Source organism: Homo sapiens, chromosome X (assembly GCF_000001405.40).
Source record: "Homo sapiens chromosome X, GRCh38.p14 Primary Assembly".
Lineage (NCBI taxonomy): Eukaryota > Metazoa > Chordata > Mammalia > Primates > Hominidae > Homo > Homo sapiens.
Window position 1 is genome coordinate 71446058 of NC_000023.11, and position 22482 is coordinate 71468539.

Genomic DNA, 22482 nt, shown 5'->3' on the forward strand with positions numbered 1-22482 from the left:
GCGTCACCATGCCTGGCCAATTTTTGTATTTTTAGTAGAGATGGGGTTTCCCCATGTTTCCCAGGCTGGTCCCGAACTCCTGACCTCAGGTGACCCACCTGCCTCAGGCTCCCAAAGTGCTGGGATTACAGGTGTGAGCCACTGTGCCCGGCCTAGTTGTTCACTATTTTATATTTTATTGATGTGTGCTTGTGCAAAATTTCTGTAGGAAATCTTGATATTTTGAAATTGTGTTCCAAAAGGCTATACCTGTTTGTAGTCAAAATAACAGTGAAGGAAAATATCTGTTTCCCTACAACCTCTTTAACGCTGGGAATAATCAATGCTTTAAAAATTATTCCTGTAAAATTAGAGTATATAACTTAAAATTTTATAAAAATTACATACATGTTCATTGAAGAAATGAAACAGCATAGAATTGTATAAAGTGAAAAGGAAAAATCTTGTTCTTCCCTTCCTACCATCCCATTAGTAGCCAGTATTAGATTTGGTGTGAAGTATTATAAATTTTACTATATAGGAAAAGGTGTTTTGAAGTGTTTATTTTTCTAGTTGTAGAGATAATGAGGATATATTTTTAGCCAAAGCTATCTGTTCATTTATATATTTTTAAGTTGCTAAATGGAATGGTGTTTCATTTTTGAGAAAAAATAAAAACATTTTCAGGGTCTTTGGGCTTTTCATCAAATAGGCCCTTGACCAGTGAGATTTATTACCCCAGTTCCCTCTGGATGGTTTCTGCCTTCTTGAATTTCTAGTTTAGATTCTGAGTGAGATTATGTTACTCTGGTTTAAGAGACTGAACCTCTTAATCTTGGAAACTAAACATCCTAATTTACATTTGATCCTCATTCTACATAAGGTAAGGAGCCTAGCTATATTGTGAAAGATTAGATTCACTTCTCTTTAATTTTCACTTGTTTTGGATCTAGTTTGAAGATAAATATCTAAGAATTGCAAAGTCAGAGCTCATCTCTTTGGGATCTGGACTATGTGTAGTTGCATTTAGTAATTCTAATTTCTTTAGGAATTTAGTATGCAGATTTTTCTTTTTATATCTGGCACTGATCTTTTTTTTTAAACTTTCTACTTCTACTGAGCTTTTATTTTTTAATTTTAATGGTTCACATTGGAACAAATGCATATCCTCACACCATCCACTGTCAAGATAATAATTTATGCTGTTTTGACAGAGTACTCATTTTCTTAGGGAGGAATTATTTTTAGTATTTGTGGAAGAGTTCTCAAGGGAAACATGAGCCTAGGAGTGATCACAAATCCCCTCTTCTCCTTGGTGCCCAGGGGTGCTTGCCAACTTGACTGGTGTTTTTCTCTGAATCTTTTCAGAAAGTTAGCAGCAATAGGTTGGGCGTGGTGGCTCACGCCTGTAATCCCAGCACTTTGGGAGGCCGAGGCAGGTAGATCACTGGAGGTCAGGAGTTCGAGACCAGCCTGGCCAACATCGTGAAACTCTGTCTCTGCTAAAAAATTAGATGGGTGTGGTGGTGCACACCTGTAATTCCAGCTACTTGGGGAGGCTGAGGCAGGAGAAGTACTTGAACCTGGGAGACGGGGGTTGCAATGAGCAGAGATCGCGCCACTGTACTCCAGCCTGGGTGACAGAGCGAGACACTGTGTCAAAAAAAAAAAAAAAATAGCAATAATGCTTGCTTTCCCCCCTTACTGGAACCATGAAGCTTGTGACTTGCGTTTCTTCTCACATCACCATACAGAAGGAAATTAACTTATAAACCAGAAAAGGAATTTTCTTGGTGGAATATCAACTTTCCAAAGCTGTCATTGGCATTATCTCTATTTAAGGACATTTGAATTCGAATTGTATGTGATTCTGTAGACCCTACCGCTCCTTATTTGGTATGAGGCAAAGTATAAATAAATAACGTTTCTCCAACGTGACATGTAGAGTTGCTTCAGCCATGATTTAACAAGAAGAGAAAAAGCAAAATATACTCAGAAAAAACATTCCTTTTCGTGAGTGGGTAGCTTATTCTTATAGTGACAAGTCACAGATTATCTTTCATTCATTTTGGTGTCATTCTAGAAATTCTTTATAACTGAATTCTGGTTTTCTGTGTAGTAACCCTTTAGGGACTGGGAATTGGAGTTCAATTCTGTTTAATCTTCTTCCCAGCCCCCCTACAGTAGCTTCAGCAACTTTACTATTCCTGTAGAGGCTCTATTGTCTTTGTCTCTTTACTTGGATTCCTCATTTCTTCCTAAGCTACAAAACCTATAGCTGATCATCCTACTTTTAGTAAGCTCCTGATTGCTCCAGAATGTAGAACGATATTTTTAGATTTTTGGAGATGGTTATGGATCTCTGTGAAAATCCGATGAAAAACTAAGGCTGTTCTGCTCTCAAAAATGTATATTACATACAGAATTTTGTTTATAGTTCTAAGGGATTCATAGCTCTGTCTCTCATAAGAACTCCTGGTATAGGTAGGGATAAGAAAACATCACAGTGGATATTTTTATCCACAATTTAACAGTGGTTTGCCAGTTCCACCAGCATATTTCATTAGAAAGACTTAAATGCTCCTTTGCTTATAATAGTGTAATAGAGTCTAATAGCTGAAGCTCTTGTAACTATTGAGAACATGGACTGTCTAAAACTGACACAAACAGCTAATATCAAACACATAAGTGTATCAGCTATGCAAGTAAGTGTGGGTTTTTTTTTTAAATATTCTAGAGGTATTAGTGGATATTTCTTTTGTTTTCTTTTTCTTTTTCTTTTTCTTTTTTTTTTTTTTTGAGACGGAGTTTCGCTCTTGTTGCCCAGGCTAGAGTACAATGGTGTGATCTCGGCTCACCACAACCTCTGCCTCCTGGGTTCAAGTGATTCTCCTGCCTCAGCCTCCCGAGTAGCTGGGACTACAGGCATGTGCCACCACGCCTGGCTAATTTGTATTTTTATTTATTTTTTTGTTTTGTTTTGAGAGCTCTTGTTGCCCAGGCTGGAGTTCAATGGCGCGATCTCGGCTCACCGCAACCTCTGCCTCCCGGGTTCAAGCAATTCTCCTGCCTCAGCCTCCCGAGTAGCTGGGATTACAGGCATGTGCCACCACGCCTGGCTAATTTTGTACTTTTAGCAGAGACGGGGTTTCTCCATGTTGGTCAGGCTGGTCTCGAACTCCCAATCAGGTGATCCGTCCACCTGGGCCTCCCAAAGTGCTGGAATTACAGGCGTGAGCCACCGTGCCCGGCCTAATTTTGTATTTTTAGTAGAGACGGGGTTTCTCCATGTTGGTCAGGCTGGTCTCAAACTCCTGACCTCAGGTGATTGCCTGCCTCAGCCTCCCAAAATGCTGGGATTACAGGCATGAGCCACTGCACCCAGCCATTAGTGGATATTTCTTAGAGTGATGTGTTGCAAAGAAAATGGGTAAGGAAGAGGTCCCATTTTCAAAATGGATTAAAGTAAGAGAGAAACTTCACGAATGTATAAAACTAATTTTTCCTTGTATTATAAAGTGAGGGAATTGAGATATTGAGAGGTTGGTTCATGTTTAAGTTTCGAAACTAAAGTAGAATAAAGGCTGAATTCCTAATTTATAGGCTGGGGTTTTAGCCATGAGGCAGGTCCCTATAGGTAGAAGAGCCTATACTGTAAGGAACTACCGTTGTACAGGCTTGGTGAAGGAGGCCTGTAACCTGTATGCAGCCTATTTTCTCCAGCAACATTTCTGTTTTCTTTTTTTGTTTTTTTGAGATGAAGTCTTGCTGTGTCACTGAGGCTGGAGTGCAGTGGCGTGATCATGGCTCACTGCAGCCTCAACCTCCTGGGCTCAACCGATCCCCTCGCCTCAGTCTCCTGAGTAGCTGGGACTACAGGTGCACACCACAACGCCCAGCTAATTTTTACGTTATTTGTATAGACAGAGTTTCGCCATATTGCCCAGGCTGGTCTTGAACTACTGAGCTCAAGTGATCATCCTGCCCAGCCTCCCAAAGTGCTGGGATTACAGGCGTGAGCCACCACACCCGGCTCTAAATATCTTGACAATTGACTTTTCTTTTTTGTTTGTGTTTGGCACAGGCAGTTTCTGTGAGGATACAACTTTATTTTACATATTTTAAAGAATAAATGACCTATACTTGTAAGACGTTTTACCTGGAAGAGACTTTTTTTTTTTTTTGAGACAGAGTCTTGCTCTGTCACCCAGGCTGGAGTGCAGTGGCATGATCTTGCCTCACTGCAACCTCTGCCTCCCGGGTTCAAGTGATTCTCATGCCTCAGCCACCCGAGTAGCTGGGATTACAGGTATGCACCACCATGCCCAGCTAATTTTTATATTATTAGTAGAGACGGGGTTTTGCCATGCTGGCCAGGCTGGTCTCAAACTTCTGGCCTCAAATGATCTCCCCACCTCGGCCTCCCAAAGTACTGAGATTACAGGCTTGAGCCACTGCGCCTGGCCTGTGGTATATTTTTTATCCTTTATATCCTGATAAAACAGTAGGTTCAATTTAGGGATCACCTCTTGTGAAGGCTTTCTTAATTCCTCTTCCCCTCTTACCTCCCAGAATCAGCCACTTCCTTCTTTGTGCCACTATTTTTCCATTGCATTGTATTGCCCTATTTGTTTACAGTCTATTTCACTGTACTAGACTATAAACTTCTTGAGGATATGACCTATATCTCACTCATTTCTATCATCTCCAATGCCTGGCACACAAAAAGTATTAAGAAAATGTCTTATGAATAAATAAGTGAATGATCAGTATATTAAAAGAACATTTTAAGTATTTAAGGCAGGGATTGAAAACTCAAATGCCTTCAGTGTCTAGGCAGAAGATAAGCAGACTTGGGAGGGACTTTGATAACCTGGAGAACACATACTTTATCTAAGAGGAACAGCTGCTACTAAGCCCCAGCCCATTGGTGCCTTGTGGGAAAGCTGACTCTGTCTTGGCCACATCTTTAAATTTTCTAAAAGAAGCCAGACAATTTAGGTTTTTATGTGAAATCTCCCATCTGTTAAATGTTATCAACTAAGTTTTTTTCAAAAAAGCCTTCTATTGAAATATAACTTAGATACAGAAAAGTGTTTTATGTATTATGGGTATATAGCTCAATCCATTTTTACAAACTGAACTAATTTTTTATGTGAGCCAAACAAACTACAAGCCACCAGTTTGCAACTTGTAACTAAGGCCATATGGGGACCCATATAGTTAAGAATCATCTTATAGGTAAAAATGTCTTAAGGAGACACATCAGCCAGATACAATGTATGGACCTTTCTTGGGTTATGATTCAAAGAAATAAATGTAAAAGAGTGTTTATAAAGTAATTTGGGAAATTTGACTCTTGGCCGGCTATTTGATAATATTAAATAATTATTGTTCATTATTTTAGATGTGATATAGTTGGTTTGTTTTTATTTTTTATTTTTTTTTCCTTTTTTTTTTTTTATTGATCATTCTTGGGTGTTTCTCGTAGAGGGGGATTTGGCAGGGTCATAGGACAATGGTGGAGGGAAGGTCAGCAGAGAAGTGAACAAAGGTCTCTGGTTTTCCTAGGCAGAGGACCCTGCGGCCTTCCGCAGTGTTTGTGTCCCTGGGTACTTGAGATTAGGGAGTGGTGATGACTCTTAAGGAGCATGCTGCCTTCAAGCGTCTGTTTAACAAAGCACATCTTGCACCGCCCTTAATCCATTTAACCCTGAGTGGACACAGCACATGTTTCAGAGAGCACAGGGTTGGGGGTAAGGTCATAGATCAACAGGATCCCAAGGCAGAAGAATTTTTCTTAGTACAGAACAAAATGAAAAGTCTCCCATGTCTACTTCTTACTACACAGACACAGCAACCATCCGATTTCTCAATCTTTTCCCCACCTTTCCCCTTTTTCTATTCCACAAAACTGCCATTGTCATCATGGCCCGTTCTCAATGAGCTGTTGGGTACACCTCCCAGACGGGGTGGTGGCCGGGCAGAGGGGCTCCTCACTTCCCAGTAGGGGCGGCCGGGCAGAGGCACCCCTCACCTCCCGGACGGGGCGGCTGGCCGGGCGGGGGGCTGACCCCCCCCCCCACCTCCCTCCCAGACGGGGCGGCTGGCCGGGCGGGGGGCTGACCCCCCCACCTCCCTCCTGGACGGGGTGGCTGCCAGGCGGAGATGCTCCTCACTTCCCAGACGGGGCGGCTGCCGGGCGGAGGGGCTCCTCACTTCTCAGACGGGGCGGCTGCCGGGCGGAGGGGCTCCTCACTTCTCAGACGGGGCGGTTGCCGGGCGGAGGGTCTCCTCACTTCTCAGACGGGGCAGCCGGGCAGAGACGCTCCTCACCTCCCAGACTGGGTCGCGGCCGGGCAGAGGTGCTCCTCACATCCCAGACGGGGTGGCGGGGCAGAGGCGCTCTCCACATCTCAGACGATGGGCGGCTGGGCAGAGACGCTCCTCACTTCCTAGATGGGATGGCGGCCGGGAAGAAGCGCTCCTCACTTCCTAGGTGGGATGGCGGCCGGGTAGAGACGCTCCTCACTTTCCAGTCTGGGCAGCCAGGCAGAGGGGCTCCTCAGATCCCAGACGATGGGCGGCCAGGCAGAGATGCTCCTCACTTCCCAGACGAGGTGGCGGCCGGGCAGAGGCTGCAATCTTGGCACTTTGGGGGGCCAAGGCAGGCAGCTGGGAGGTGGAGGTTGTAGCGAGCCGAGATCACGCCACTGCACTCCAGCCTGGGCACCATTGAGCACTGAGTTAACGAGGCTCCGTCTGCAATCCCGGCACCTCGTGAGGCCGAGGCTGGCGGATCACTCGCGGTTAGGAGCTGGAGACCAGCCCGGCCAACACAGCGAAACCCGGTCTCCACCAAAAAAATACGAAAACCAGTCAGGCGTGGTGGCGCGCGCCTGCAATCGCAGGCACTCGGCAGGCTGAGGCAGGAGAATCAGGCAGGCAGGTTGCAGTGAGCCGAGATGGCAGCAGCACAGTCCAGCTTCGGCTCGGCATCAGAGGGAGACCGTGGAAAGAGAGGGAGAGGGAGACCGTGGGGAGACGGGAGAGAGAGAGGGAGAGGAGGGAGAGGGAGAGGGAGAGGGAGAGGAGGAATTCTGTCTTACTCCAGACCAGTTGGTTTGTTTTTAGAGCAGCTTTAGTTCATGGCAAAATTGAGCAGAAGTTACAGAGAGTTCCCATATACTCCCTGCCCTCACATACATACAGCCTCCCCAGTTATCAACATCTTGCACCAGGCTGGGCGTTGTGGCTCACGCCTGTAATCCCAGCACTTTGGGAAGCCAAGGTAAGAGGATCTCTTTAGGCCAGGAGTTCAAGACCAGCCTGTGCAACATAGTGAGACCCCCCCCCCACCCCCAATCTCTACAAACAAAGAAAAATGGGCATGGTGGTGCATGCCTGCACCCAGGAGTTCAGGGCTGCAGTGAGCCATGATCATGTCACTGCATTCCAGCCTGGGTGACGGAGCGAAACTCTGTCTCAAAATAAAAACAACAGCCTGCACCAGAGTGTTATATTAATTGTGTTAGTTGGTGAACCTACAATGACATATCATTATCACCCCAAGTCCATGGTTCATTCTTGGTGGTGGTATACATTGTATGGGTTTTGAAAAATGTATAATGACATGTATCCACCATTATATTATCAGACATAATTGTTTGTTAAAAGCATCCTTAGGATGGGCACAGTGGCTCATGTCTGTAATCCCAGCACTTGGGGAGGCTGAGGGGGGCGGATCACTTAAGGCCAGGAGTTCAAGAGTAGCCTGGCCAACATGGTGAAACCTAGCAACACATACTGAACAATTTTTAGAGGAAAATTGTTATGATGCTGGAATTTGCTTCAAAACAATTTGAGAAGAGTCTGAAAATTGAAGTAAATGAAACAAGATTGACTGTGTGTTAATCATTGAATCTGGCTAGTGAGTACATGGGAGTCCATTATGTTAGTGTTGTATTGCATATGTTTGGAATTTTCTGCCTCTGAAAGTAGAACAAGAGTCCAAGTTAAAGCTGAGGCATGGTTTTTCTAGGTCTAGGATAATGGGACACACTGCTGATGACAGAATGTAAAATTCTGGAACAAGTCTGCAAAGATAATGGCACTTTCTTATTTTATTTATAGGACCTGAGAGTCAGTATACTAAGACTGCCCAGGAGATTGTGAACGTCTGTTACCAGACATTGACTGAGGTAGGTGGTAAAGATGGAGGTCCTAAGCCTGGGCAACATAAGGAGACCCCATCTTTACAAAAAAAGATTTAAAAATTAGTGGGGTCTGGTGGTACACAGCTGGGACGTGTGGTCCCAGCTACTCGTCTGAGGTAGGAGAATCATTTGAGCCTGGGAGGTCAAGGCTGCAGTGAGTCATGACCATATCTCTGCATTCCAGCCTGGGCAACAGCAAAACCCTGTCTCAAAAAATAAAAGAGGTCTCCTTGGGATCTAGCTTTTTGAAATCCTGTTCCCTTGAATGAGGAGCTTTCCCTGATTATCCTATTTTAAAATGTAGTATTCCCTACCCCCCAACTCCGCATCCCCTGTTTCCTTCCCTGCTTAATTTATTTTGATTATTATCTGTGTCCTGCCACTAGAATATAAGCTCCATGAAGATAGATATTTTTGTCTTTTGTTTACTTTTGTATCCCCAGTACTTAAAATACATGTTGAATGAATTTATTTTCTTTGTTTCTCAGTATGATGAACATTTGACTCAACTTGAGAAGGATATTTGTACTGCTAAAGAAGCAGCTTTGGAGGAAGCAGAATTAGAAAGCCTGGACCCAATGACCCCAGGGCCCTACACGCCTCAGGTGAGTCTGAGGACTAAGTACTTCCTCATATAGTTTTCTTATTGGTTTGGGAAATTGGGAGCATGTTAACAAATCCGTTTACTGAGATACCATTCTTCTCTGTCCTTCCTCTTCATATGCCTTTCGTGTGCTTTCTTGTCTTCTCAAAGGCTAAGGTGAGTGAGGGCCATGGGTCTTGGTGGCCTTGAATCCAGAAAAGGCAGCTGTGGGATGAATGAATGGGGTGGGGCCTTAGTTGTTTAGGCAGTGTTTGGGAATATCAGATCCCTGACCCAGCCATCCTCTGGGTCTCGGGAATTTTCTTGTCCATGAATTTTGGGACTCTAGAACATCCCTAGAGTGTAGACTTCTCAGTTACAGACATGGGCCATATTGTTCCTGTGCCTTACAGACACTTGATTACTCATTCCCTCAGAGATATCTCAGTGTAGCTCAGAAGTCACCCATTTTCCTGGATTGACTCCTAGTAAATGAAGAAAGGTAGTATTAATAATGTTCTTAAATGTTCATGTCAAAAGAATGAGAGAGCAGGATAAATAAGAAATTTTTAGTCTTCCTGGTCTAACTGAACCCTTGAAATACACTAAGAGTATATTTCCTCCATACTGTACTCTTAGAGGGTTGGCATATTTGAAGAATAGGACTTAACAGAATATCACTGGTGCTTGGTTTCTGTATTGGAGGCACTATGGTAGGGTGGAAAGTACATAAGAATTGACATAAAGCAGGCCTGGGTTTGAGTCTTAGTTCTCCTGCTGTCTAGCTTTGTAATCTTGGAAAGTTAACCTCTCTCACTTAGTTTCCTTTTCTCTGAAATCTTTTCAAGATTGTTGTAAACATTAAATGAATTAATTTAATTTGCCTGACACATCTTTATCTGTTCTCTGAGACCCTTTCAAATTTAATCAAATATTTTAATGCAGAACTCTGCCAATTCCCACAGGAAAATTTTTTTTCATTCTATCCAGGTTTCCCTCTGAACTGATAATGCAACCTATGTGACCTCTGTTGGATTATTGCTGTCTCTATATCTCGTTCATGCACTATCCCTATCTATCTTTTACTCTCTCTTTCATCTCACAACCTAGGTTACTGAGGGGCCAGGTATAAAAGAACCCTCAGATACTTCTTCAAGGTCCAGAACAAGGAAAGGCTCTTGGAGTGTGTGGGCAGATTGGGTCAAGGGGGCTTGGGTGAGTGATGTTGCCCAGGAAGGCCCTATTTGCTAATAGGCCCACAGCTTCCACAAGGTACTTTCTGGTAAGTTAAAGCCTGGGTATTAGCCATCATTCCCCAGGAGAGTCTAGCCATTGAATGGCACATGGTTTGCTCATTTCTAGGACAGCCTAAGCCTAGTCCTTTGGTGAGTCAAAGCCTTAGACCCCAAAGTCACCTTCCTTTCTTCACTACGTCTCCCAGACTACCTCAAATGGCTAAGGACAACCTGTTAGCTATTTCTCTCTTGAGCATTAGCTGTCATTTGGTGCAGTTAGAGGGTTTCCTATGAAGAGTAGGATTAGATAGTACTGCTTCATTATTCCAGTTCACCTTTTCATCATTCCCTTCACTCACAAACAGTTTAAGATAGTAACCAACTCATTATCTCTTAACCTGAGGAAGGTGTACATGAGTGACTGTCCTTACTTTACTTACATTACTACTGTCAAACTCAAATGTTATTAGAGTGTGTTTGCAAAAGTGTAACCTGCCTTAATACAATGTTGGTTGTAAGAAGCATGATAGTAATCATACCTTTCAACTTCTAAATGGTGGTGGTCAATAATGTATTTTCTTTTTTTTTTTTTTTTTTTTTTTTTTTTTTTTTTTTTTTTTTTGAGACCGAGTTTTGCTCTTGTCACCCAGGCTGGAGTGCAATGGCGCAATCTCGGCTCACTGCAACCTTCGCCTCCCGGGTTCAAGTGATTCTCCTGCCTCAGCCTCCCGAGTAGCTGGTTTTACAGGCATGGGCCATTACGCCTGGCTAATTTTGTATTTTTAGTAGAGACAGGGTTTCTCCATGTTGGTCAGGCTGGTCTCGTACTCCCGACCTCAGGCCCACCTCGGCCTCCCAAAGTGCTGGGATTACAGGCGTGAGCCACCGCGCCCGGCCCAATAATGTATTTTCACTCAACTGTTTCCACCTAACTTGGATTGCATCATCTGTTCAGCTTAACACCTTATCTAAAACTGTTGACTTTGCAGTTTTCTGCACTGTGCCGTAGGGTTTTGCAGAAATTTCATCCCCTTATTTTTCCTTTCTTCTGTTCCACATTGATTTACCTGCTCTGTAATGCTTTGAATTTTGTTTTGCCTCTGTTTCTCCAAAACCCTCTTCTGAATCAGTTTTGTTTCCTTTTTTAAAAAACACAATGTAACACATATCTGTTCTATCTGTTGATAAAAGTAACATGTTTGTTAGAGAAAACTGGAAAATAAAAACAAGAAATAAGTTACCTCTTGTAATCACTTCCACCACTCAGAAGCAACATCAGCCAGTGTGAATATTTTTATTTCTTTCATATCTGTAGCGTATGTATTTGTGTTTATAGACACACTTTTAAAATGAAATTGATCAATATGGTTTTGTGTCTTAACTCTTTTCACTTTACATTATTTTGTGAGCACTTTATCTAGTCCTTCTTGCCCTCCTGTCACAGAATAGTCCATTTGCTGAATCCCTGTTCTTTCCAGGGCAGAAAACAGGGAAGGGATCTATAATATATTGAGTACCAGGCATGGGTAAGGAACTTACACATCTCTTAATTCTCACAACAACCCTGTGAGGTAGACATTATCATCCATGTTTTATAGTTGAGTTAATCAAGGCTTAGAGATGTTAAGTAATTTGTTACTCACTAGCAAGTGTTGGGGCCAGGACTCAAACCCAGGACATTTTACTCCAAGGCCTATGATTTTTCACCATGCCATTTTGCTTCGTAGCATCCTCTGATGGGCTCATAAACTATCAAAGCATTCTATGCTCTTGTTGGAATTGAAATTCCTTTATCTCATTTCCTCTGTCTCCAAATCAAGCAATCAAAATAGCACTGATATGAAGCCTTGGGCCTAAAAACCGAAAGACAAGGCTTAGAAAAAAACTAGGTTATTGACCAGAAAGGCTGTTAGGACATAAAATTGTCCCATAGCTTTGGTGCATTTCTGCTTCAGGCTTCTGATTACGTGCATCAGGCACCTGTCTACTAGAATAGGCAACATTTATAAGAGTCCCAAAAACTTGTCTGTAAAGCTGTGTCAAACTATGTTTCTCTTTAACTGAATTGCTCTGCATGATCTTTTTCTCCAGTAAATGCCTTAAAGGGGAGTTATCTGTATTTATTTTCCCTTTCCTAGATAGAAGCTAAGTTGTATGTTTTGTGCCACAGCCTCCTGATTTGTATGATACCAACACATCCCTCAGTATGTCTCGAGATGCCTCTGTATTTCAAGATGAGAGCAATATGTCTGTCTTGGATATTCCCAGTGCCACTCCAGAAAAGCAGGTAACACAGGTAGGATGTTCTTTTTCTCTTTATAAGATTGTTATTGTGCCTGCAAGTGGGGCTAGGGGAATGGTGATGGTGATGGTGATATGTGACATATGTCAAGAATGACTGGGCCCTTTGGCCCTGGGAATGAAAGCTTAGAAATGGGATTTCAAGTTGGGATGGCAGCAGGTCGTGTGACTGGTGTTATATTCTCTCTGTCCCCATGGGTAGAGTCAGGCACAGCAGAACTTCAGGGAAGACACAAGTATGAAAAAAGGGTGTGAAGCATCAGAGTAGCCTGACGGGTGACTAGAGCGACCAACTGCACTCAGACAGTTCAAAATAATTGGCCTACTTTATGTGTATTATAATTTAAATTAAAATTATTTATAAAATTAAATTTTAAAAATTGGCCTTTTCTAGAGGTATCAGAAATATCTACAGCTTTTCTACAGCTATTCTCAGTCAGGGTTCCACTGGAAAGTGTAAAACCCAGGAGGGTTTTTCTATCCCAAAGAGTTCAACACAAGCTATAAGGAAAGTTTGGGTTAGAAAGGAAGAGTCTCTTTGTAATAATACAGTAAGAGTAGACTAAGAGCCTTTCCTGTTCTTTGGGTTTTTTACTCCGGCTGTGATTTCCAAAGAATGGGGGAAAATGCGCATGCCTTGAGCTGTCTAAACAGCCCCCACTAGCAGTGGGATTGGCTGGGATATCAGGGAGGAGCATCCACCCTGGGTGAGAGCCCTTGGTTAACTCCTCCTACAGGCACGTCCCTCAATGATGTGCTATTTGTGTTCCTTACTCAGATGCGCCAGGGCCGAGGTAGGCTGGGCGAGGAAGACTCTGATGTAGATATTGAAGGGTATGATGATGAGGAGGAGGATGGGAAACCTAAGACTCCAGCCCCAGTGAGTATGCTTATAGAAAGCTTATGGTTACGTTATGCCCTTATATGATAGGAGCCCCATCAGTACAGGCCAGGCCAAATCCTAAGATGATATCAGGGGGTCTCCTTAGTGAGCCCCAATCTGACTTTAATCCTTGGGACCAACTAAACAGTCTATCCACCAAAAATAATTACTTAACTTCTTGTGAGGCAGCAAGTGGAGGGATGGGCGGGGCGGGGAGGGGGGGTGTGCCTGGTGGTGGCTTCTGGTCTCTTATGTGGTCAGTTGATAGGACTTTGACCCCCAACTGGTCTCATTCAGGAAGGTGAAGATGGAGATGGTGATCTTGCAGATGAAGAGGAAGGAACTGTACAACAGCCTCAAGCCAGTGTCCTGTATGAGGATTTGCTTATGTCTGAAGGAGAAGATGATGAGGAAGATGCTGGGAGTGATGAAGAAGGAGACAATCCTTTCTCTGGTAGGCCTCAACCATTGCTTCTATTCCTTTATAACTCACTACAGCACCCTCAGAACTGGACTGGATAGGCGCTCTTGGCCACATATGCTTTTATTGGAAGCTGCCTCTTTTATTGAATTCCTATTAATAGACCTGAGAGTACTGAGCACTCAGGCGTAGGATGATCATATTCATTAGCAGGAGGTACAAAAGACAACAGTGGAAAAGACAGTGCCTAAGTAACAGCTTTGATCTGGATACTTGTTAAAGGCTGGGCACAGTGGCTCATGCCTGTAATCCCAGCACTTTGGGAAGCCAAGGTAGGAGGAACACTTGAGACCAGGAGTTTGAGACCAGCCTAGGCAACATAGCGAGACCCTGTCTCTACAAAAAGTAAATAAATAAAAATTAGCTGGGTGTGGTGGCGAGTGCTTGTAGTTCTAGTTAGGAGGCTGAGGCAGGAGGATCGCTTGAGCCCAGGACTTCAAGGCTGTAGTGAGCCATGATCATACCATTGCACTACAGCTTAGGCAACATAGTGAGACTCTGTCTCCAAAGAAAAAGAAAAAAAGATGAGAACAGAATGATCAAGTGTTATATGTGGCAACAGGGAAGGAAAATTAAGAAAAATCCTGTTTGGGGATATTTTGTGGATTAATGGCAATGGCCGAGGAAAAGTATGGGAGTAGATGGTAGAAAAAATACAGATAGGTTGGCATGAGATGGAAAAGGAAATTGTTATTTGGATTCAGATTCTAAACTACAAACCTTGCTGCTGTTGACCCTAGGCAGTTATAAGAGGCATTTGAGGAGAGGCGTATAGGCAAGATACCTGTGTAGATGTGTGAGAGTTACTAGTTTGGGAAGATCAAGCCAAAGATCAAGTTAAATCTGTCAAGCTTAACTCTTGATGACCCAGAATCTGTCTCTTTTTACAGCTATCCAGCTGAGTGAAAGTGGAAGTGACTCTGATGTGGGATCTGGTGGAATAAGACCCAAACAACCCCGCATGCTTCAGGAGAACACAAGGATGGACATGGAAAATGAAGAAAGCATGATGTCCTATGAGGGAGACGGTGGGGAGGCTTCCCATGGTTTGGAGGATAGCAACATCAGGTAATCGACAGCAACATGCTACAGGGCTGTGGCATCAGTGCCCAGCTATGATGTTGAGGGGCCCAACATCAGATTACTTTTCATCCATCAAACATTTCCTGGGCACCTACTAGGGCCAGGCACTGTGCTAGGCTCTGGGGATACACAGAGGAGCAAAACATATCCTGCCCTTGAGGAGCCCACAGCCTAGTGGAAAAGACTGACACAAACAAATCATTACAAATACAATGTGATAAGTGCTATAGCGTAAGTAAGACAAAGTGCCAAAGCACCACTGAGAAGGGAGTGTCTCAGTCTGCTTGGAGTTATCAGGGAAAGTTTCACAGACAAGGGAACATTTGAATTGGGCCTTAAAAGATTAATAGGAGTTTACTAAGTAGGTACTATGGCAGGGGGTGGGGAGAACTTTATAGGTGGAACAATGTGTTCAAAGACACAGAAGTAGAACACAAAGTATGTTCCAGAGCAAATGGAAGTTGTTGGGGAGTTGAGGCTCCAGAAGTGTAGCAAGGGGGATTATATTGTGAAGGACTTTAAAAGGCATGCTAAGACCTTTGGACCTTAACCTGCGGGTAATAGGAGTCATCAGTTTAAGGAAAAGGAAGTAACATCAAATTTGTATAACTTAGGACAATGTGGGACACATGATGAGGATATCAACAGGGACTTGTCAGGAGTGGGGAAAATAAAGGGACATAAAGAGGTAAGGAGGTTAGATGAATAATGAATGGAGATGTCTGGTAGAGGAAAGAGGAAGAATACATATTAGATGGGGCAGGAAAGGAGGAAAAAATGGATTTGGATTTGGCTTTGGACAAGTTAAATTTAATGTATCTATGATACATCTAACCAGCAAGCAGATAATATGCAATAACATTGTAAACAAATTAATTTTTTACTTCAGCAAATATTTATCATAAGTACAAAAACAACTAAGATATGGTCCCTTCCTTCAAGGAGATCAGTCTAGTAGGAAACCTAAAACAGGTAAAACAGGCAATCATAGTGTAATATGAAAAGTGCTATGCTAGGCAACCGCAGGGTTTTTCTAGGACTTGGGTAGAGGTGGGGAGGGAGGAGAGCTGGCTAGAGAAGGAAATTGAGCCTAATATGAATAGGAATTAGCTAAACGAATAAGAAAGCAATGGGCATTCCAGAGACTAGGAAGAGCCTATATGAAGACACAGGCATGAAACACTTCACAGGCATGAAACGCTTTCAGAGAACACACGTAGCTCAGTGTGACTGGAGATTTTTTGATTGATCCATGTAAGATCTATAATTCATGTGATAGAAATGACTTAAAGAGGTAGGTAAATACCAAATCATGAAGGGCCTGAAAGTTCTGGGCGGTCATTGAATGAGAATAGTATGACCAGATTTACATTTTAGAAAGATTGTCCTGTGCCCCAAAAGAAAAATGGGCAAAGGCATGAACTAATTTACAAAAGAAATGTAAATGGCCAATATATCATATGAAAAAATAACTTCCAGCCGGGCGCGGTGGCTCATGCCTAAAATCCCAGCACTTTGGGAGGCCGAGGCAGGCAGATCACAAGGTCAAGAGATCTAGACCATCCTGGCCAACATGGTGAAACCCTGTCTCTACTAAAAATACAAAAATTAGCTGGGCCTGGTCACACCTGTAGTCCCAGCTACTCAGGAGGCTGAGGCAGGAGAATCGCTTGAACCCAGGAGGCAGAGGTTGCAGTGAGCCGAGATCGTGCCACTGTACTCCAGCCTGGTGACAGAGCAAGACTCAGTCTCAAAATGATAATAAAAATAATAACAACAATAATAGTAACTCCCCTAATAAACGCAGTAAAACCACGAAGTGCAATTTTTTTACCTATCATATTGGTGATTAAAGTGAATGATAATGCCTAGTGTTTGGAAAGGCTATGAGGAAAAAGACATTCTCAAACTACTGGTGGTAATGTCGATTGATAGAAATGGGGTGGTTTGGAGAGAGGCTTATTTATTTATCATCATAAATAAAAACATTTAAAAACGTGCATCCCCTTTGGCCCAAAAAATCCACATCTAGGAAATTATTTTATGGGAATAATTAACACACCATCAAGATGTTTGTGTAAGGATGTTTTATGACAGCATTGTTTCTAATAGTGGAATAATTGGAGACAGCTTAAATGTCCTAGTGAGAGACTGTTAAGTCATGTTACAGCCATGTGTGGAATACCATGTAGCTATTAAAATTATGCTATAGACGTTATGTTTATTGACATGGAAAGATGTTCATTATAATCATTAGTGAAGAGGGCAGATTTCCTGGAGAGTATGTAGAGTATCCCAATTTTGTAAATTAAAAAAAATGTTTAAGCATCTAAAGTTCACAAAAAATTTTGGAAGGTAATATACCAAAAGATTATCTCTGGATGATGGAGTTATTGATTTTTTTAAATTTTTTTCTGGTGTATATTCTAATTTTTTTAACCAGTGAACGTGCATTACTTGTGTGATTTTTTTTTCAAGTAAAATTAAGAATAAACAAACAAACAAAAAAATAAAGAGCACTCTGGCAGAAGTGTGAAGAAGTAATTGGAGGAGAGCAAGACTGGCGGCATGACGACTTATTTCAGTAGTGCAGGCCAGAGATAACAAAGGACTAAGCCAAGGTAGGCAGAGTAGGGATGGAAAGGAGGGGATAGAGACAAGATATATTGAAGAGAGAATCTTCAGGACTATTGACTAATTGGATACTGTAAGTGGTAGATGAAACCATGAGGCTGTCAGAGCATTTATGGTCATGTAAGATGGCAGTGTGTTGTTCAGGTGTAAGGGAGTTTCTTCCATTCAGGTTCTTGTGTATATGACGTTGGCAAGTTGATGTTTTTGAACAGGGTCATTTTTCTCTCAGGGACATGTAGAATAGTCCAGAACCAGTCACTTTAGTGTCCAGGGGAGGTGAGATGGGCTGATCCTTTGGTGGCACTGAGAATGGGAATGGTCAGGTAGAGGATGGTGTCCGAGCTTGAGAGATGACATGTTTCTCTTCTCAGTTATGGGAGCTATGAGGAGCCTGATCCCAAGTCGAACACCCAAGACACAAGCTTCAGCAGCATCGGTGGGTATGAGGTATCAGAGGAGGAAGAAGATGAGGAGGAGGAAGAGCAGCGCTCTGGGCCGAGCGTACTAAGCCAGGTCCACCTGTCAGAGGACGAGGAGGACAGTGAGGATTTCCACTCCATTGCTGGGGACAGTGACTTGGACTCTGATGAATGAGGCTTCCTTTGGGCCTCCTTGGTCAGCCTTCCCTGTTCTCCAGCCTAGGTGGTTCACCTTTCCCCAATTTGTTCATATTTGTACAGTATCTGATCCTGAAATCATGAAATTAACTAACACCTTAGCCTTTTTAAAAGTAGTAAGTAAATGATAATAAATCACCTCTCCTAATCTTCCTGGGGCAATGTCACCCTTTGATTTAAAACAAAGCAACCCCCTTTCCCCTACCACTACGGAAAAGAGCAAGCTCATTTTTCCGTGTCCTCCTTTATTTAACTCCATTTATTGCTTTTGGTATAATTTTTCCCTGGGGAAGGAGGGGAAATTATGAAAGAACTAGTAACTTTATGTCCTCTTGATGTATTAGGAAATTTCCGGCCAGGCGTGGTGGCTCACACCTGTAATCTCAGCACTCTGGGAGGCCGAGGCGGGCAGATCACCTGAGGTCAGAAGTTCGAGACCAGCTTGGCCAACATGGCGAAACCGCATCTCTACTAAAAATACAAAAATTAGCCAGGTGTGGTGGCGTATGCCTGTTAATCCTAGCTACTCGGGAGGCTGAGGCAGGAGAATTACTTGAACCCGGGAGGCAGAGGTTGCAGTGAGTGGAGGTCACGCCACTGCACTCCAGCCTGGGCGAAAGAGTGAGATTCAGTCTCAAAAAAAAAAAAATTTCCAAGCATGGTATCATCTCACTTTTCTAATTTACAGGCTGGAGCAGATGAGAGCCCTCCTGCTGGGACAGAGAATTGGGTTCTAGTGGACTCTGTGCTACACTTAAACCTGTGAGACAAACCGCCCATTATTTTATTATTTAATTATGCAATGCCTAGTTCCTAAATGGATTGGAGGCAAATTACCGTAAATTTTGAAACAGCCTATATGTCAGAAATGATAATGTTGCCACCTAAATGTTTTCTGTCCCCCCCACCCTCCCCAGGGGAAATGGTAGGAAAATGGTAAGTTTCTTAGGGCAAAGACTGTGTCTTCTGTTTCTTTTCATGCTTAGGATATGGTTCTGTGCATAGTAGGTACTCAGTAAATGTTCCTAGAATCATAAAATCCTCAACAGATATGTTACTGAGCATCTGCTTTTCATGATAAGCACTCTATCAGATCCTTGGGATGCAAAGGTAAATAAGACAAATCCCTTTTACCCAAAGAGCTCACCATCAAGTTGGGGGAGGGAAAGTGGAATTCAAAACATGTTAATAAATCATCATAGTACTGTGAGATAAGTGCAATTAAGAAGCTAGTTATAAAGTATAGGGGAAATAGAGGAGTAATCATGTCTGAAAAGTCAGGAAAGTCTTCCTAGAGGTAATTTTTAAGCTGATTGTTTTAGAATTAGTAGAAGCTTGCCAGATGGAAAAGTCCAGGCAAAGTGTAACATGAATGGGAAAGGCCACAGTCTAGAAATGGCAGAGTGTGTTCCTAGTTTGTTTGTTTGTTTGTTTGTACCTGCCTTGTTCCAGGAAGGATTTAATGTGGTTTATATTCCAGTCCTTTAATGCTGGAAGGGCTGAGATGAGACTGAAAGATGGGCAGGAAGTATATCATCACAAGCTTTGTGTTTGATGTTAATGTGTATGATTTTTATATTATGGGAAATAAGCTCTTAGAGGAGTGATATAATCAGGTTTGTGTTTTAGAAATCTGTGTAATGAATGAATGAAGAAAGAAATTGAAGAATCATGTAACATATGTGATCGCATTTTTGTAAAAGAACCATGTGTGTTTATATGTGTTTATATATATACTTGTGTATGCAAAGGTAAAAGTCTGAAAGGATATATGCTAACTGTTCACAATGATAACCCCCCAGGAATGGGATTGGAGGGGAGGGGGCTTCTGTGTTTGTTATGTATGCTGGGTGGGATATTGTGCTTTTATTTCTATATTGTTTGAATTTTTTTACAGTATGTATTATTTTTGTAATAAAAATTTTAAAAAATTCCAGCAGTAGTGTGGAGAATGGTTTGGATGGATCTAGTTCAAGTAAGAGAGAATGGAGCCCAAACTGGTGCTATGGCATTGGGATGGGGAGGAGGGGGATGGATTTGAGAGATCTTTAGGGAGTAGGACTTGGCATTTGTGGGTAGAGAAGGAGGAATGGAAGGTGGCTTCCAGAATTTTGGTTGGGGGGATTGGGTGAGTACATGGTATTCATTGGTTCATTTTAACATTTATCATGCCACCTATTTTTGTTTTGTTTTTTTAGATGGAGTCTCCCTCTGTTGCCCAGGCTAGAGTGCAGTGGTGTGATCTCGGCTCACTGCAACCTCCACCTCCCGGGTTCAAGCGATTTTCCTGCTTCAGCCTCCTGAGTAACTGGGATTACAGGCACGCATCACCACACCGGGCTGATTTTTGTAGGCTGGAGTGCAGTGGTACGATCTCAGCTCACTGCAACATCCGCCTCCCGGGTTCAAGCGATTCTTGTGCCTCAGCCTCCTCAGTAGCTGGGATTACAGGCGCCTGCCATCATGCCCAGCTAATTTTTGTATTTTTAGTAGAGACGGAGTTTCGCCATGTTGGCCAGGCTGGTTTCAAACTCCTGACCTCAGAGGATCCGCCCGCCTTGGCCTCTCAAAGTGCTGGGATTACAGGCGTGAGCCACCGCGCCCAGCCAAGACGGGGCTTTACCATGTTGGCCAGGCTGGTCTAGAACTCTTGACCTCAAGCGATCCACCTACCTTGTCTTCCCAAAGTGCTGGGATTACAGGCATGAGCCACTGTGCCTGGCCAAGCCACTTGTTTTTATAAGCAGCCTGCCAGATGCTGATAGAGAAGTAAGATATAGTTCCTGATTGCAAGGAACTTAAGGTCTAGAATGAGAGGTAGATATGTAAATAAACAAGTTTAATAAAAAGTGATCATTGCAATAAATATTTACAAGAATCCGTGGTGAGAGGAAAAAGTTCTTGACTCTTTACGAAGTAGGAACAAGAATGCTTCACAGAGGAGACCCTTAAAAAAAACCATGAAGAGTGGAAAGGAATTTACCAGATATTCATAGGGGTGGGATGGGAGGGCATTCTTTTTTTTTTTTTTTTTTTTAATTTATTGATGATTCTTGGGTGTTTCTCGGAGAGGGGGATGTGGCAGGGTCATAGGATAATAGTGGAGAGAAGGTGGGCAGATAAACACGTGAACAAAGGTCTCTGGTTTTCCTAGGCAGAGGACCCTGCGGCCTTCCACAGTGTTTGTGTCCCTGGGTACTTGAGATTAGGGAGTGGTGATGACTCAACGAGCATGCTGCCTTCAAGCATAATAACCCAGAACTTCTGGGCTCAAGCAATCTTCCCACCTCAGCTTCCCAAGTAGTAGGGACTACAGGTGCATGCTACCACTCCTGGCTTCCAATCCTTTTCTAAAGAGGCCAGTTTTTCTTGAGTTTATCTGTGCTTATTTCTTCTAAGTTTGGGAGGTTTCAGTAAGGATGCCATTCACTTTTATCATCCCACTTCCATGATAATAATTTCTATATCTACAATTTATTGATCACATAATATTCCAGATCACATAACATGCTTTATGTATTAGGTTTAACCATATGAAAAACATTTTTGTAGGTCAAAAAGAATAAATATTGGCAATTTCACATGTTTCAATCTAGTTTGTAGTCTCCCTTAATCCTCACAATAACCTTGAGGGTAGGTGGTAGTATGCCTATTTTTACAGATGACAAAATCTGAAGATTAGAAGGATTAAGTGACATTCGTAACATCACTAAGTGGTAGAGCCAGGATTTGAACATGGGACTACCTGTTTTCAAAACATGTTTTTAAACACAGTATACCTTTAAAGAAAATATTATGATGAGAATGTGGTAAACCAGGCCCTGAAACACTGCTTGGGAGTGTAACTCAGTACAACTTTGCTGAAAGCTATTTGACACCGTGCATCAAGAGCATTAAGTTTTCAGGCTGGGCACAGTGGCTCGCACCTGTAATTCCAGCACTTTTGAGAGGTCAAGGTGGGTGAATCGCTTGAGCCTGGGAGTTCAAGACCAGCCTGGGCAACATGGTGAAAACCCATCTTTACTAAAAATATAAAAATTAGCCGGGCATGGTGGCACACACCTGTAGTCCCAGCTACTTAGGAGGCTGAGGTGGGAGGATCGCTTGAGCCCAGGAGATCGAGGCTGCAGTGAGCCATGATAGTGCCACTGCACTCCAGCCTGGGCAACAGAGACCCTGTCAAAAAAAAGAGAAAAAAGAATTTTCATACCCTTGCATCTAGTAATGTCATTTCTAGAAAATTATCCTAAGGAAATAATCAGAGATGAACATGAAGATCCATGTAAAATATGCCCATCAAAGCATTATATTTTTAATATTAAAAATTGGAAACAGAGGCCGGGTGCTGTGGCTCACGCCTGTAATCCCAGCACTTTGGGAGGCTGGCGTGGGCGGATCACAAGGTCAGGAGTTTGAGACCAGCCTGGCCAACATGGTGAAACCCCGTCTCTACTAAAAATACAAAAATTA

General features: G+C 42.8%; 1 protein-coding gene across 28 annotated transcripts in view, besides 2 other annotated features; it reads left to right on the top strand.

The window, feature by feature from the left end:
- Positions 1-22482, top strand: part of TAF1 (TATA-box binding protein associated factor 1) — a 164169-nt gene that overhangs the window by 79701 nt on the left and 61986 nt on the right. For 5 of the 28 annotated variants that reach the window (XM_047442391.1, XM_047442392.1, XM_047442393.1 and 2 more), the window contains 8 exons: positions 8113-8180; positions 8684-8800; positions 12184-12309; positions 13093-13194; positions 13495-13651; positions 14569-14746; positions 17767-18506; positions 18701-19948. In XM_047442391.1, the coding sequence (XP_047298347.1) occupies positions 8113-8180; positions 8684-8800; positions 12184-12309; positions 13093-13194; positions 13495-13651; positions 14569-14746; positions 17767-17989 (971 nt within the window). In that variant the 3' untranslated portion in view covers positions 17990-18506; positions 18701-19948. Of the gene's footprint in view, positions 1-8112; positions 8181-8683; positions 8801-8949; positions 8956-12183; positions 12310-13092; positions 13195-13494; positions 13652-14568; positions 14751-17766; positions 19949-20210; positions 20891-22482 lie in introns of those variants that run through there. The other 23 variants (XM_047442395.1, XM_047442396.1, XM_047442399.1 and 20 more) reach the window with 12 other exon arrangements.
- Positions 5380-6376: an enhancer, noted in NCBI's record as "NANOG-H3K27ac hESC enhancer chrX:70671287-70672283 (GRCh37/hg19 assembly coordinates)". NCBI's record gives its function as "activates a minimal SCP1, AML or CMV promoter by ChIP-STARR-seq in naive H9 embryonic stem cells {active_cell/tissue: H9 hESC(naive)}" and the evidence as "EXISTENCE:reporter gene assay evidence [ECO:0000049][PMID:30033119]".
- Positions 6377-7372: an enhancer, noted in NCBI's record as "H3K27ac hESC enhancer chrX:70672284-70673279 (GRCh37/hg19 assembly coordinates)". NCBI's record gives its function as "activates a minimal SCP1, AML or CMV promoter by ChIP-STARR-seq in naive H9 embryonic stem cells {active_cell/tissue: H9 hESC(naive)}" and the evidence as "EXISTENCE:reporter gene assay evidence [ECO:0000049][PMID:30033119]".